At 42.0% G+C, this 16,324-nt stretch overlaps 1 protein-coding gene across 9 annotated transcripts in view; it reads right to left on the reverse strand.

The window, feature by feature from the left end:
- The window catches only part of AREL1 (apoptosis resistant E3 ubiquitin protein ligase 1), a 51,825-nt gene that overhangs the window by 11,328 nt on the left and 24,173 nt on the right, over positions 1 to 16,324 (reverse strand). For 5 of the 9 annotated variants that reach the window (NM_001437431.1, NM_001039479.2, XM_047432018.1 and 2 more), the window contains 9 exons: positions 13,017 to 13,077; positions 11,871 to 12,097; positions 10,713 to 10,950; positions 4,000 to 4,169; positions 3,558 to 3,738; positions 3,116 to 3,363; positions 1,451 to 1,528; positions 494 to 635; positions 248 to 369 (listed from right to left, as the gene is read on the reverse strand). In NM_001437431.1, the coding sequence (NP_001424360.1) occupies positions 248 to 369; positions 494 to 635; positions 1,451 to 1,528; positions 3,116 to 3,363; positions 3,558 to 3,738; positions 4,000 to 4,169; positions 10,713 to 10,950; positions 11,871 to 12,097; positions 13,017 to 13,032 (1,422 nt within the window). In that variant the 5' untranslated portion in view covers positions 13,033 to 13,077. The remainder of the gene's footprint in view (positions 1 to 247; positions 370 to 493; positions 636 to 1,450; positions 1,529 to 3,115; positions 3,364 to 3,557; positions 3,739 to 3,999; positions 4,170 to 10,712; positions 10,951 to 11,870; positions 12,098 to 13,016; positions 13,078 to 16,324) is intronic. The other 4 variants (XM_047432019.1, NM_001437432.1, NM_001411046.1 and 1 more) reach the window with 2 other exon arrangements.

Here is a 16,324-nt window from a genome sequence, read left to right on the forward strand (position 1 = left end):
AAAATTAGCCAGGCATGGTGACACATACCTATAGTCCCAGCTATTTGGGAGGCTGAGTTGGGAGGATCACAGCCCGGGAAGATCGAGGCTGCAGTGAGCCATGATCGCACCTCTGCACCCCAGCCTGGGCAATAGAGTGAGACCCTATCTCCCAAACAAAAACAAAAACAAAAACAGTAACCTGCAGAATATAGACATTCAATTGGAAAACTTTGGTATCTGCTGACAGAGATGAAATTTTACCTACCGATTCCAACAAGGCATGTCTGCTGACCTTCAGGGTGACTTTGGAATGTGGTCTTTTCATATGTACCTGCCGAAGCTCTCGCTGGAAAAAGTTCACCTTGTCCTGAAAGGTCTCAGAGCCTCCTGGGGAACAGCAAGATCCATCATTACAGCCTCATTACAAGCCATCTGTGTAGTCCTGCCTCTCCACCCTCATGGATGTGGCTGGGCTCACTACCTTCCCTATAGAATCCCTGTGTAACCTCACCTATGTTCTTATGCAGGGAGCGGATAAAAGTGGCTGCTAGAATGTTCCTCTCCTTACAGCTGAGCTCCACAGGAGGTTGAATGCCATCATCCACCACCAGTGTGAGCAGCTTATGGACAGGGTCAGGACCAAGGTATGAAAACTGGTAAAGAAAAACAAAGAAATTAATCTATAAAACCCTCAAGGCCAGTAAAAGTCCTCCACAGCTCTATCCTGTGTACCAACCAACAACAATAAGTTAGGCTTGTTTTCTCCAAATGAGGACCTACCAGAAATACATTTCATTATTTTTCCCTTCAGTGATTTACATTTCAACATTTAAAATTATTTTAGTCACAGAGACTGCCTTTAGTTAGGACCACCAGCAAAACTACAGACCTTCTAACATAAAATATAAGAAGGGTGATATGTTAAATAGCAATAAATGGCAATACGGTGATATATTAAATAGCAATAGTAAGGATATATTAAACAGCAATAAATGACTACTCCAAACTGATCAGAAGAAAACTATTTTTATAAAATGGCACATTCTAGCCTTTGGGCAAAAGTTTAGATTCCAGAAGCCCAGAAAAGTTAACAACAAACAAACAATGTATTTTAATATATGAGAGTGGTGCTTCTAAAAGGAGTTAGCTTCAGCACACTGGGAGACCAAGCTTGGGCCAGAGTTACAAACATCTTCTCTATTAACTTAGTCTTGAAGGCAAAGGATCACTGTTGAAGTATTCTGAGTTGCTGCTAATTCCTGTTTCTGTAGGCATGCGTCCTTCCAGAATTTATATATTCTTCATGCCATTTAGTGAGGAGATAATGATGCTTTATTTGGCAACGAATCCTGTGTACACTGTGAGATCTTGCAGAAACACTAAAAGTGCTTCTGAGAAAAAATAAAAGGCTGAGATAGTCCAGAGATGAAGCATGCTTGATGTGAACCAGATGTAAGGTTCAGCTTACTTTTGTTCCTGGACACACTCGGAAGGTGTAAAGGCGCCAGGGGATGATCTTCAGGTAGAACTCCTTCACTGAGAATTGCTGGAGGACCAACAGACAGGAAATGAAGTGAATGATAAATAAAAAGGCTCTATTTGGGTATTCTAATTCAAATATCATAGTCCCTATTTACATTTCTCATAACCTTTCCTCTCCATGGACAAAAGTAATAATTTAGTGAGTACTAAAGTCAAATAAATACATTAACTCTCTATTTAAAAAGGCAAATTAAAAATATTACCCTGATGGCCAAGTGTGGATGGCTCACATCTATAATCTCAGCACTTTGGGAGGCCGAGGCAGGCAGATCACTTGAGGCCAGGAGTTCAAGACCAGCCTGGCCAACATGGCAAAACTCAGTCTCTACTAAAAATACAAAAAAATTAGCTGGGTGCGGTAGCTCATGCCTGTAATCCCAAGTACTCGGGAGGCTGAGGCACAAGAATCGCTTGAACCCGGGAGGCAGAGGGTGCAGTGAGCTGAGATTGGACCATGGCACTCCAGCATGGGTGACAAAGTGAGACCCTGTCTCAAAAAATAAAATAAATAAAAAAAATATGACTGACAATGCAGTTTCACACAGAGATATTTCATAATTGTAATACTCAAGTCTTTCTAAATATCTGGGATCAGGTTTTCACTTTATGAGAACAGAATATTTCACCTAGAAACAATCAAAATCTCCTTCTGCTCAGCCCCATGATGCTCAGAATGACTTCCTCCAAGTTACTGGATAGCAAACACCAGCAACCCATACACACTGCTTTATACCTATTTGAATGGTGCCAAGGATCTGCCAGGGAAGGGAGGCAAGATGGGGTGAGCTGGAGTGGAATATGTTGGTGGTATAGGGGAAGGTCCTCACACAAAAAAGTTCATACAAAAGAGGAAAAGACAATGCAAAAATTTTTTAATCTTAAAAAATCCCTTTTATCTGAATGTGCAGGTCAGTTGTTTTCTTGATAAAAAAAAGTTTAAAGAAAATTTCAAACACATACTAAAGAAGACAAAGAAGTATAATGAAACTATCAGCTGCTTCAACAATTATCAATTCATAGCCAATCTTGTTTCATTTATTCACTTACCCATTTCCCTCATTACCATCACCCCTAGTCCAAATTAAGGCTAGATTTTTAAATGAAGAATGGTACACAGCAAAGTGTTCTGAAGTAGAACAGAATTAGAACTCAGTTTTGGTTATGAGATTAAAGAGATGCAATGGGATGTTTCACAGAGTCTCATTTTTATGAGGACTGAATGAATAAGGAAAAACAAATATTAAAAAGAAACTAACACAAAGTGCTTCTTAGCTCAGGGGCTTGGGAAATTCACCTTCTTTCCTCTGCCAAAATTTCTTTACTCCAATCCTGTAGCCTAATAGTGACATCCATTTACTGTGGTTTCATGAATCACAGAACAAAAGATCAAATTGTTTTGACACAGCACAAGAAGCCAACAGTAATTTTTATGCTAGCAAGAAATTTTTAACAGTTGAAAGTGGCTTTCTATACAACTAGTTAACAATCTTGCCCTGATTCTCAGACTGTTACTTTGTGGTTTCTGCTACCAAATACCAATTACACACAGGTTCAAGCAGGGGGATTTTATGTCGAGAATGGAAGGTCCAACCTTTGGTGACACATAGCAGTACACCTTCTTCGGTTTCTTCACCTTCTCAGGGGTGTGGCACTCAGAGGGCGAGTCTTCATCTTCCTCGTCAACAGCAGTGGATGGCCGGCGCTGGGAAGAGGTCATGTGCATGGGTGGCAGGTGCCATGGAGTGCTGCTACAGTTGGTAGCATTATAAAGATAAGCCTCAAAGTAAATGCTCACGCCTGAAGTGGACACATTGCGTTCGACGATATTCTTCTCATCCTCTGAAGTATAATAAGGAATAAGGTTTAAAGTAGAAGTCAGAGAAGAAAAAAATTACCTATCACAGGCTTTTAGTCCACAGGACAAGCCAAATGTGGCCCAAATATCAAATGTTTGTGAGGTCAGACAAAAGAGTGCAAACAGGCAAAGAAACGGCTGAAGAACAGCACTAAATCATACTTTTCTTTTAACTTACCACTTAGGACAATAATGTCAAATTCACCATTATTGATTGGCTGATTTTGGTATGAAATGCAAGCATGGAAGCAGCCTCGAGAATGCAGGGTGAGTCGCAAGAACACCTGGAAAGTCTGCCTGTTGGATGTTACTGATTTCTCAAATGAGACACCAGTACTCTCTTCTTCTTGAGGGCCGAGCTATAGGAAGGCAACAGAGCATCACTTAACATATAGTATTTTCCCATTTACAAGCCACTTTACTCCTTACAAAGAGCTTTCCTATCTATGATCTAATCTAAATCACAAAATTACTAATGAGACAGGTATTGTCAGATGAAGATACAGACAGCACAGAAGTCAAGGAGAAGGAAAGAGAGATCGAAGTGAATTAGGTGTGAGAATAACAGAGAAAGGAGCCAGCTCTCTCTAGCACACAGATAAAGAAGGGAGACTGCTTACCTCATGAATGGACAAGGTGTAATTGTGCTCATCTCTCAAGGACATGGAATTGTTGGTGGGATTATCATACTCATCTCGGGGTACTATTTGAAGGGTGTGCGGCTGCCCACAGGTCAATACAAGAGTAGAAAAGTGGCACACAATTTTGGTCTTAGAAGGAACCACCATTCCTGGAACAAAGACAATGGAATCTAACATTTATTTATTTTATTTTTTTATTTTTATTTTTTTTGAGATGGAGTCTCGCTCTTTCGCCCAGGCTGGAGTGCAGTGGCGCAATCTCGGCTCACTGCAAGCTCTGCCTTCCGGGCTCATGCCATTCTCCTGCCTCAGCCTCCCGAGTAGCTGGGACTATAGGTGCCCGCCACCATGCCCAGAGAATTTTTTTTTGTATTTTTAGTGGAGACGGGGTTTCACTGTGTTAGCCAGGATAGTCTCGATCTCCTGACCTCCTGATCCGCCCGCCTTGGCCTCCCAAAGTGCTGGGATTACAGGCGTGAGCCACCACGCCCGGCTGGAATCTAACATTTAAAGGTGCTCTTCAGGGCACAAAGATCTGCTCAGTGGGTCCTAGAAAGCTAGGTTTCCTCCCAATTCCTAGGGATAAATAACACTATCAAGAGGAAGAGAGGCCAGGTGCGGTGGCTCACACGTGTAATCCCAGCACTTTGGGAGGCCAAGGCCAGAGAATCCCTTAAGGATCCCTTAAGAAGTTCAAGACCAGCTTGAGCAACATAGCAAGACCATCTCTACAAAAAATAAAAATTAGCCAGGCATGGTGGTTCATGCCTGTGTCCCAGCTACTCAGGAAGCTAAGGCAAGAGGATCACTTTTGCCCAGGAGGTAAAGGCTACAGTGAGCTATGACCACACCATTGCATTCTAGCCTGTGTGACAAAGGGAGACCCTGTCTCTCTCCTTTTTTTTTTTTTTTTTTTTTTTTGAGACAGAGTCACGCTCTGTCACCCAAGCTGGAATGCAGTGGCACGATCTCGGCTCACTGCAACCTCTGCCTGTCGGGTTCAAGCGATTCTCCTGCCTCAGCTGAGTAGCTGGGACTACAGGCACCCGCCACTACACCCAGCTAATTTTTGTATTTTTAGTAGAGACAGCGTTTCACCATATTGGCCAGGCTGGTCTCAAACTCCCCACCTTGTAATTTGCCCGCCTCGGCCTCCCAAAGTGCTGGAATTACAGGCGTAAGCCACGGTGCCCAGCTAACCCTGTCTCTTTATTAAAAAAAAAAAAAAGAGGAAAAAACAGAAATAGAGAAATTTAAATGAATTTGGGGAATTATTTTTGTTACAAATTCTTAACCACTGCAAACCCTAAGTAAAATGAAAAAAACTTGGAAGAAATAAAACAAAAAAACCAACAAACAACTAAACAAATGGAGACATGTTTATGGAAGATCCAACATAGTACAGATGTCAATTTTCCCCAAATTGATATATAGGTTTAACACAATTCTTATCAAAGTTCCAGCAAGATTATTTATAGATTTAGTTAAGATTATTCTAAAATTTAAATGGAAAGGCAAAGGAACTAGAATACTAAAACAATTTTGAAAAAGAAGAATAAAGTGGAGTCAGCTTACCAATTTCAAGACTTATTATAAGAGCTACAGTAATCAGGCTGTGTGACTTGGCTCACGCCTGTAATCCCAACACTTTGGAAGGCCAAAGCAGGAAGATTACTTGAGTCCAGGAGTTCGAGACCACCCTGGGCAACATAGTGAGACCCTATTCCTACAAAAAAGATAAAAAATTAGCTAAGCACGGTGGTGCACGCCTGTAGTCCCAGCTACTCGGGAGGTTGAGGCAGGAGGATCACTTGAACCCAGGAGGCCAAGGCTGCAGTGAATCATGATCGCACCACTGCACTCAGCCTGGGTGACAGAGTGAGACCCTGCCTCAAAAAAAAAAAAGAAAAGAAGAGGGAGCTACAGAAATCAAGATTCTGTGGTACTGGAGGAGGGATAGGTACACAGATTAATGAAATAAGCCCCCACAAATATGTCCAACTGCTTTTTGATAAAGGTACAAAAGCAATGTAATAGAAAATGAAAGATCACCTTTCCAACAAATGATGCTGGAGTAAAGACATGTATAAGCAAAAAAAAAAAAAAAAAAAAGAGGACCTTGACCCAAATCTATTAAAATTAACTAAAAATGGATCATGACCCTAAATACACATTTTCAAACTGTAAAAACTTTTGGGAAAAAAAGAGAACATCTTCAGGATCTGAGACCAAAGATTTCTTAGACACCAACAGTTTGACCATAAAAGAAAAAAATGGATGCACTGGATTTCTTTCTTTCTTTTTTGAGACAGGGTCTCACTTTGTCACCCAGGCTGGAGTGTAGTGGCAAGATCACAGCTCACTGCAGCCTCAACCTCCTGGGCTTGTTATCCTACCACCTCACTTCTCCACCCTACTCCCCAGTAGCTGGGACTAAAGGTGCACGCCACCACACCCAGCTAATTTATAAATTTTTTGTAGAGATGAGGTCTCACTATGTTGCCCAGGCCGGTCTTGAACTCCTGGGCTCAAGTGATTCTCCCACCTCAGAAAGTGGATTTCATCAAAATTGAAAACATGTGCTCTGTGAATAACTCTGTTAAGGGAATAAGAAGAAAAGCTCAGCCTGAGCAACATGGCAAAGCCCCATCTCTACAAAAAATATAAAAATTAGCCAGGTGTGGTGGCACATGCCACAGTCCCAGCAACTTGGGAGGCTGAGATGGGAGATCACCTAAGCCGGGAGAGGTCAAGGCTGCAGTGAGCCATGACTATGCTACTGCACGCCATCATGGGTGACAGAGTGATACCCTGTCTCCAAAAAGAAATAAAGAAAAGCTACAGATGGGGAGAAAATATTTGCAGACCATATGTTTAACAAAGGACTAGCATATAGAATATATACAGAACTCTCAAAAGTCAACAGTAAAAAGCCAAAATGGGCCGGGCACGGTGGTTCATGCCTGTAATCCTAGCACTTTGGGAGGCCAAGGTGGATGGATCACCCGAGGTCAGGAGTTTGAGACCAGCCTGTCTAACAGGGCAAAACCCCATCTCTACTAAAAACACAAAAAACTAGCCAGGCATGATAGCAGATGCCTGTAATCCCAGCTACTTGGGAGGCTGAGGCAGGAGAATTGCTTGAACATGGGAGGCGGAGGTCGCAGTGAGCTGAGATTGTGCCATTGCACTCTAGCTTGGGCGTCAGAACGAGACTCCATCTCAAAAAAAAGAAAATAATAATAAATAAATAAATAAATAATAATAATCCCATTAGATAATGGGCAAAAGGGCCAGGTGTGGTGGCTCACGCCTGTAATCCCAGCACTTTTTGGGGCCAAGGGGGTGGATCACTTGAGCTCAGGATTTCGAGACCTGCCTGGCCAACATGGCAAAACTCTGTCTCTACAAAATATACAAAAATTAGCCAGGCGTGGTGGTGCCTGCCTGTAATCCCAGCTACTCAGGAGGCTGACACAGGAGAATTGCCAGAACCTGGGAAGAGGAGGTTGGTTGCAGTGAGTCAAGGTAGCACCACTGTACACCAGCCTGGGCAAGAGCAAGGATGTCTAAAAAAAAAAGAAAAAAAGAAAGAAAGAAAAGAAAAGAAAAGAGAAAAGAAAAGAAAAGAAAATGGACAAAAGACACGAAGAGACATTTCACCAAAGGATACATAGATGACAGACAGGCACATGAAAAGATGTTCAATAGCATTAACTATTTAAGAAATGCAAATTAAAAGCACAATGAGATACCACTACACACTTATCACAATGGCTAAAATAAAAAATAATGACAGCATTAAATGTTAGCAAGGATGTGAAGAAACTGGATTATTCATACATTGCTGGTGGGAATGTAAAATGCTACAGCCACTCTGGAAAAGAATTTGGCAATTTAAAAGAAACTAAGCATACAACTCCAATACATCTCAGCAACTGCATACTAGAGAAATGAAAATTTATGTTCACATAAAAACCTGTAAGTGAATATTTATAGCAGCTTTATTCATCATAGCCCCCAAATGGAAACAACCCAGATGACCTTTAACAGATGAATAGTTAAACAAACTGGTACATTCAGACCACAGAATATACGTAGAGAATCCCTAATCCAAAAACCAGAAATCCAAAATGCTCCAAAATCCAAAACATTTTGGGTACCTACATGATACTCAAAGGAAATGCTCACTGAAGCATTTAGGGTTTCAGATTTTTGGCCTAGGGTGCTGAAGTGGTAAGTAAGTATATTGCCAATATTCCAAAACCCCCAAAAATCCAAAATCCAAGACACTTCTAGGCAGACATAGTGGCTCATGCCTGTAATCCCAGCACCTTGGGAGGCCAAGGCAGGAGGATTGCTTGAGGCCAGGAGTTAGAAACCAGCTTGGTTAACATAATGAGACTGTCTCTACAAAACAAAAAATCAAAAAATTAACCGAGCGTGGTGGTGCACACTTGTAGTCCCAGCTACTTGGGAGGCTGAGGTGGAAGGATTGCTTGGGCCCAACAGGTCAAGGCTACAGTGAGCCATGATCCTGCCACTGCATTCCAGCCTAGGTGACAGAGCAAGGCCCTGTCTCAAAAACAACAAAACATTCCTATACCACGTTTGGAGAGAAAAAAACCACAAAACCACACATCTGGTCCCAAGCATTTTGGATGAAGAATACTCAACCTGTACTACTCAGCAGTAAAAAGGAACCAACTACTGATACACTCAGTAACCTGGATGAATCTCCAGAAAATTATGCTGAGTGAGGAAAAGTCAACCCCAACAGGTTATATACTATATGATTCTAGTTATATAATATTCTTCAAATGACAAAATTATAGAAATGGGGAATAGATTCGTGGGTTGCCAGGGGTTAAGAACAGGTTGGGGATGGGGGGCAGGTACGGTGGCTCATGCCTGTAATCCCAGCACTTTGGGAGGCTGAGGCGAGCGGATCATGAGGTCAGGAGATCGAGACCATCCTGGCCAACATGGTGAAATCTTGTCTCTACTAAAAATACAAAAATTAGCTGGGCGTGGTGGCACGTGCCTGTAATCCCAGCTACTCAGCGTGAGGCAGGAGAATCCACTGAACCAGGGAGTTGGAGGTTGCAGTGAGCCAAGATGGCACCACTACACTCCAGCCTGGCGACAGGGCGAGACGCCATCAAAAAAAAAAAGAAAAAAAAAAAAAGAAAGAAACAGGTTGGGGGGGATAGGTGTGGCTGTAAAAGGGCAACATAAGGGATCCTTGTGATGATGGAAATGTTCTGTACCTTGACTGTATCAATGTCAATAACCTGGCTGTTATACTGTACTAGTAGTTTTGGAAAATGTTACCATTGCAGGAAACTGGGAAAAGGGTACACCAGATCTCTGCATTATTTCTTACAAATGCATATGAATATACAATTATCAAAAAATAAAAAGTTTAATTTTTTTAAAAAGGCTGGTACATGTAAGGGTATGAGCTGTTCTCCACTGGTGGCAAAGAGGTGGGTGATGATAATTCATATGAAAAGGAGTATCTGAGTGAGGCACTTAAGCAAAGGAGAGGATACATGGAAAGAGAGACGGCTTGAGAGCCACTTTGTCCAGAGCCTTACTCTGCTATCAGAGAAAGAAAATTAAGGACTAGTCAAGCAAAGATACACAAATCTTAAGGCCCCACTCAGTACGGTTTCACTTCAAAAGTTACCCAGGGACCCCAGGTCCTATTATTTCTGTGGATACCACAGCCCTTAGCCCTTAAGAACTAACCAAACTAATGACTCAGCAATTTTACTCCCAGAGTAATAAAAACATGTCAACACAAAAACTTGTACACAAATGTTCACAGTAGTGTTGCTTACAGTACCCAAAAGTAGAAACAATTCGACCACCAACTGATGAAAGGATAAATAAAATACGGCATGTACATAAAATAGAATATTATTTGTCAATAAAAAGAAATGAAGTACAGATTCACGCTACAGCATGACTGAATCTGGTTTAGATATTTGTACCCTCCAAATCGCATGTTGAAATGTGATTCCCAGTGTTGGAGGTGGGGCCTGGTGGGAGGTGATGGGGTCATAGGGGAGGATCCCTCATGAATGGCTTGGTCCCCTCCTCATGGTAATGAATAAGCTCTTGTTCTGAGTTCATGCAAGATCTGTTTGTTTAGAAAAGCCCAGCACCTCCTCCCTCTCTCTCTCTCTTGCTCCCTCTCTCACCATTAGGCACTCCTGCTCCCGCTTCGCCTTCCACCATGAGTGGAAGCTTCGCGAGGCCTCACCAGAAGCAGATGCTGGTGCTATGCTTTTTGTACAACTTGCAGAACCATGAGCCAAATAAACCTCTTTTCTTTATAAATTACCCAGTCTCAGGTATTTCTTTACAGCAAGACAAAAGCAGCCAAACACAGCAGGCAAATCCACAGAGGCAGCAGATGAGTGGCTGCCTAGGTCTGGGGGATTTGGGGGAAAAGTGACTACTAACATGTATGGGGTTTCTTTTTGAGGTGATGAAAATGCTCTAAAATCGACTGTGATGATGGCTGCATTTAAAGAACCATTAAACTGTATACTTTAAAAGGATGAATTTTATGGCATGGGAATTAAATCTCAATAAAGGTATTATTTTTAAAAAGGAAAGACAGGATGGAAAGAGAGAGAGGGAAGGAGACAAAGGGAAAAAGAAAGGAAAAAAGAACCTACCAGGTTGAAAAATTTTGTAGTAGGGACTATATGCCACATTTAATCCACCAAGCTTCACTGTGATTTCATAACGCCCAGCCTTGCGCACAGTGAAGGCCACTTTTACTACGTTGGAATTGGGCTCCTGAAGGACTTCCTGGGTCACTGGAATTTCCACTGCTAGCTCGACATGAGAGATGTGAACTCTTAGTCCCACAGGCCGATGTGCAGGGAAAGGCTGCCCGTTCTTATAGAATAACTGCCATGGGGAGAAGAAGGACACCTGTTAGCAAGCAGAGGAAAAAAACATTTCCTGTGTAGAGTGAGTGGGGAGAGAGGAAGTAGCTGGCAGAGACCACACCAGTAAATCCCAGTACCTACCCTGTTCCTCACAGTCCTGCTCACAAAAACACAGAGAGAAACAAATCCCCTCAATACTCTAAAGAAAACCATTAAGTCATGAGCAAATTCTTAACTTGTTCAGAGGACAAGGGTAGAATTTACCACTAAATCAAGAAAATGTCCATTTTAACTTGCCACTTCTGAACCACCAATGCTGCCTCCTTGGTCTTACCAGCCCTTTATATTATCAATGCTAACCCAAATTTAAAGGTAAGTTAGCCGGCAGCACTGGCAATGAGTGAACTAAAGCGTTACCAGACAAAGGTAGGAGGGGTTCAGACTCTCAAGCCAAGCTTAATGCTACAGTGGAGAAGTCAATGCAGGAGTTGGGAAATTTTTTCTGTAAAGTGCCAGAGAGTAAATATTTTGGCTTTGTGGACCGTACACAACTACTCAACTGTCATAACTACTCAGGTGTGAAAACAGCCATAGTCAATACATGATGAATGGGTGTGGCTGTGTTCCAAGACAAATGTATTTAAAGAAACAGAAGGTGGGCCTGATTTGCTAACCCCTATCTATAATACTTACTCTTTTCTGTAATATTTTTCTTATTTTGAAAAGGTAACATTAAGCTTTATACTTCTTCAAAGCTAAGGACCTATTAAATCAAAATGACAGAGAAATTTGTGACTCTTCAGATAGTAGCAATTCACTAGTTCCTGGAGGGAGTTGAAAAACAAGAGAAAATGTTAACATTCCAGGCCAGCACCTGGGCTCTGGAAAGCAAGTTACTCAGAAACCCCAATGGGTATGGAGACAGAAACATTCCCTTACATGCACTCGGAAGGCCATGCTGTGGCCCACCTCATAGGGGTCCTTCCAATCCCAGGAGACTTTGCAAGACCGGGGATCCAGGTAATTTCCCCGCACGTAGTCATAAATAGTCCGGTCCCCTCGGCGCTCGCGGTCCTCATTCTGGAGGAAGCTGACTACACGTGCGGCAAGCTCAAAGAGGAACTTAATTGTGAAGAAGAATGCAACCACAGACACTGTGATTCCACCTATGCAAAAGAGAGAACACACAAACCGCCTGCCAGTTACACATTACAGCTTTTCATTATGCAACAGGCCAGCCATTTCTCAAAAATTAAAGGAGGTCAGGATGAGACTGTAAGACTGCCAAAGAAACACTGCACTGGGCACTACCTCTGTAGATAAGAAAGGAACTTCTACACCAGGGGTCAGTAACTACAGTCCTCAGGCCAAAGCCCACCCACTGCCTATTTTGGTAAATAAAGTTCCATTGGGATACAGCCACACCCATCATTTATAAATTGTCTATGGCTACTTTTGCACTACACTGGCAGAGTTGAGTCATTGAAATGAGCCTTCGGAACCAAAAATATTTACTCTCTGGCCTTTTATAGAAAAAGTTTGCAAACTCTTGCTCTATATGAGCTGCATATAATGTCCGCCCTGCTCCCTACCTTCCTGCACTTGCTGGGCACCCCACAGAAGCAGTCAAAAGGATGTGCCTTTGGTTCCCACCATTTCCTTCTTAAAGAATGCATTATTTGGGAGCCCTCCCCTCCCTTGTGTACTTGGCAAAAGTCTTCTCCAATCCCCACCAGAGTTAGCAGTTCCCTTTTCTGGGCTCCTTCAAACTCCTACACATTCATCTGGTATAACTTTTCTCCTCCTTGACCGTTCCCCTTTATGTTATGAATGCCTACTCCTTGAAGGCAGATTTTTGTCTTATTCAACTTTAGACTCCACAGTAAACAGTGTCTGGCATTGACTATAATTGCTCAATAAACCCAAATGAATGAATTCCAATGCCAACTCTGTGAAGGTACATTCTGGCACGACTAGAAATATTTTCAGCTCCATTTTCAAAGGGAAAAGAATAGGCAGAAAGGCAAAAAGGACCCAAGCAACCTTTACAAAAATATAATAGAGAGAGCTCTTTCCATAACGTACCAATAACGTAAAACATCAGGTCCCGTCAATGCCAACAGACAGCCGAGGATCACAGCTGCAGCTGTTAAAAGAAAACTTGTTTAGTTTTTGTCTCCAACTCTGCCTCATAGCTATCTCAGAGTAAGACAAAGAAGAGTGTATGGCGTGAGCCAAACAACTCTCTCTAGTCCAGAGCCTTACTATTCCTATCCTCTTTCTAGCTTGACAGGTGCCGTATAATATATTTCAGAGAAACAAAGAGACTGCATCATTCCCCTTAAAGACTTCCAATCTACTGACCACTCTAGGAATACCACAAACAGCCACTTGCTTTATTGCTAATTTCAAAATGCAGTAACATGGCTTTCATCTTCTTAGATCCATAGTTCCCAAGACAGTTTCCCTCCCTCATGCAAAGTGGTGCTAATTAACACATGCAAAGAGGGTAATGGAGTCACTTTCCCCTTATGTTTGCCTTTTGGGAGTAATTCAGCTAAGTAGAAATAGCTATATAAAATGTAGATTTTTTTTTTTTAAAGCAAGTATCATTATCATCATGTTGGCATTATGTAATTAAAATGAACTCTGGGTCATCCCAATAATAAGCAGTGGGTCTGAAAGTGAAGTCATTTATGCTGTTACCAATCAGACAAACTAATGGGCCCTCTGGAAGATGAGCTCAGCAGAAAGACCAAGGAGAGGAACAAAAGGAGACTGTACTTCTCATCCTCAGTCATGCCTGTCAAGGTAGGAGTCTGAGGGAAGACTTTCACTGTTGTTAAACTTGTTTCCAGAATAAGACTTCAATCTTAATTACTCATTTGATCATGTGAACCAATAAAAGTACTGCCAAGGAAAAATGCAATGTATGCTAACGTTCATATCTTATCACTGAGTCTGACCTTAGCACAGGCTGTATATGCTATTTTACAATGCATGAATGCACTCTTTCTTTTCAAGTCAGCGTACACTAAGGCTGTCAATGTTATCTTGACCCAACACCTTTTATCAGCACTAGAATATTACGTAGAGACAAGACAGCTAAAAATTTCTAGGCTCAGATCTGGGAGGGACCAAAACAACTTTTTTTCAGGGTGTGTTTTTACATCTGATTGTGCTTGCTTAGTTCCTCTGATAACAATATACCCAGTGGAACCCACAGAGAGTAGGTAATTTGAGGAATGACCGTCAAAAGTTTCATACAAATCCTACTTAGAGTGATTATCTAAAGTCCTACTAGAAAAGAAATCCACACTGGGAACATTAGAATTGTCACGTGGATGAAGGTGCTCCCAAAAGGGTCTATTACAGACAATATAAAGAGCCAAAATTTGGGATCACAACTACTGAACCTCCTTCCCAAACAAGTATCTCATCTCTTGGGACCCTATGCTGAATTAGCTGGGGACCCAACAGCTATCATCTCAAAAATCTGCTACGATCTCTCAAAAAGCATCTGTCTGCATCTTACAGGATGCACTAGATGACTTGGTGGGACCAAAACTGGCAGTTTAACTGCCTTAGGTACTTCCTCAGCGGGATGCCATTCGATCTGACCCTAGATGTGAAATTTCTGGTCCTCAGGGAAGTTACAGCACTCAGCAAAGAAATGAAGTATATGTGGCTGGTGTTACAGATTTGTGGTCTTCTTAGAGGAATAAAAGCAGTGCCAAATGTATGGCTTGAGTCATGAGGGCTAGAAAAATTCCCACCTACTATCTCTGACAACTACAACAACCCTTCTGTGAGAGACAGCTGACATGCAGTAATTGAAAAGCCTGGAGAACAATCCCAGGACTGCAAACTGTGTGACCTATCTAGGCTTCAGAATCTCATTGCTGTAAAAAGAGTTGCAATTTAATAATTTCTATGGTATCATCTCCTTTAGTATGATATGACTTCAATGCAACTCCCCATGGCCATCAAAGCTCTAGCCAAACAGCATAACAAATAGCATAAGATAGAGGATAAGGGGGCAGACTCTAGAGTTAGATTACCTGGCTTCAAATCCATGCCCCATCATTCATAATGTGACCCTGGACAAGTCATTTAATCTTTGTAAAGGAGTGCCAGTTTCCTTATATGTACCTCACGGGGTGCTGTGAGGATTAAATGAGTTAACACATGTAAGCAGCCTACAGTAGTGCCTGGCACACAGTGAGTTCTCAAAGTTTTAATGATTATTACAATTATTATCAATAGTAGCGCCAGTATCACTACTCCTTTACTTCAAAGCTGATAGGAAACTCCTCTCTACTGGCCCACACTTTCTTCAAAGAGAAATGCATCTGAATTTCAAAAGGCATGGCTTCTATTACTGTCCCTGAACAGTCTGCATGGGAGTTCTTTATACTATTCTAATTTTATGCCTAAAAAATTTTACAATAAAGGGTTAAAAACTCATCCTAAAATAATTCGTCCAACAAATACTGAGTACTTACTTTTTTTTTTTTTTTTTTTTTTTTTTGACGGAGTCTCACACTGTCACCCAGGCTGGAGTGCAGTGGTGTGATCTCGGCTCACTGAAAGCTCTGCCTCCCGGGTTCGCGCCATTCTCCTGCCTCAGCCTCCCGAGTAGCTGGCATTACAGGTGCCTGCCACCATGCCCAGCTAATTTTTTGTATTTTTGGTAGAGACGAGGTTTCACTGTGTTAGCCAGGATGGTCTCGATCTCATGACCTCGTGATCCACCCGCCTCAGCCTCCCAAAGTGCTGGGATTACAGGCGTGAGCCACCACGCCCGGCCCTGAGTACTTACTCAATGTGCCAGGTACAGGGAGGACAAATTAGAACATGAGAGCCACAGTCCAGTTATCATGAAGCTGGCAGTAATGAGCTTTACCTTGTGGAGTCCTCGGCCATTTTTCCCCTGTCACTTATTTCTCAATCAAATCATCACTACTGATTTTCAAGATCAGCTAAACCTTCTCCAATGAGTCAGTTCTACATTTCTGCCCCACCTCTATTCATCATTTAAAACTCAACAGACCAATTACTACTTTTTCCCCAAACAACTGTCTTCTTGAAACCTCCTCATGACCAGAGAGTTAGTTCTATCAATTCATCATTCGCTGACATCAACTTTACAAAATGTCCCACTGCTCTACAACAGCTCTCAAACCACTCCCCACCCCCATAGTATTTACTGACCTCCCAGTTTCACCCATGGTCACATTCTGAATTTGCCTTCGTTCTACAAATTCCCCCTTTCTGGTTCCTCCTGAATTCTCTCAAAAGCCCTTCTATTTTATTTTTATTTTTATTTTTATTTTTTTTGAGACAGAGTCTTGCTCTGTTGCCTAGGATGGAGTGCAGTGGCATAATCTTGG

This window comes from Homo sapiens, chromosome 14, assembly GCF_000001405.40.
Source record: "Homo sapiens chromosome 14, GRCh38.p14 Primary Assembly".
NCBI lineage: Eukaryota > Metazoa > Chordata > Mammalia > Primates > Hominidae > Homo > Homo sapiens.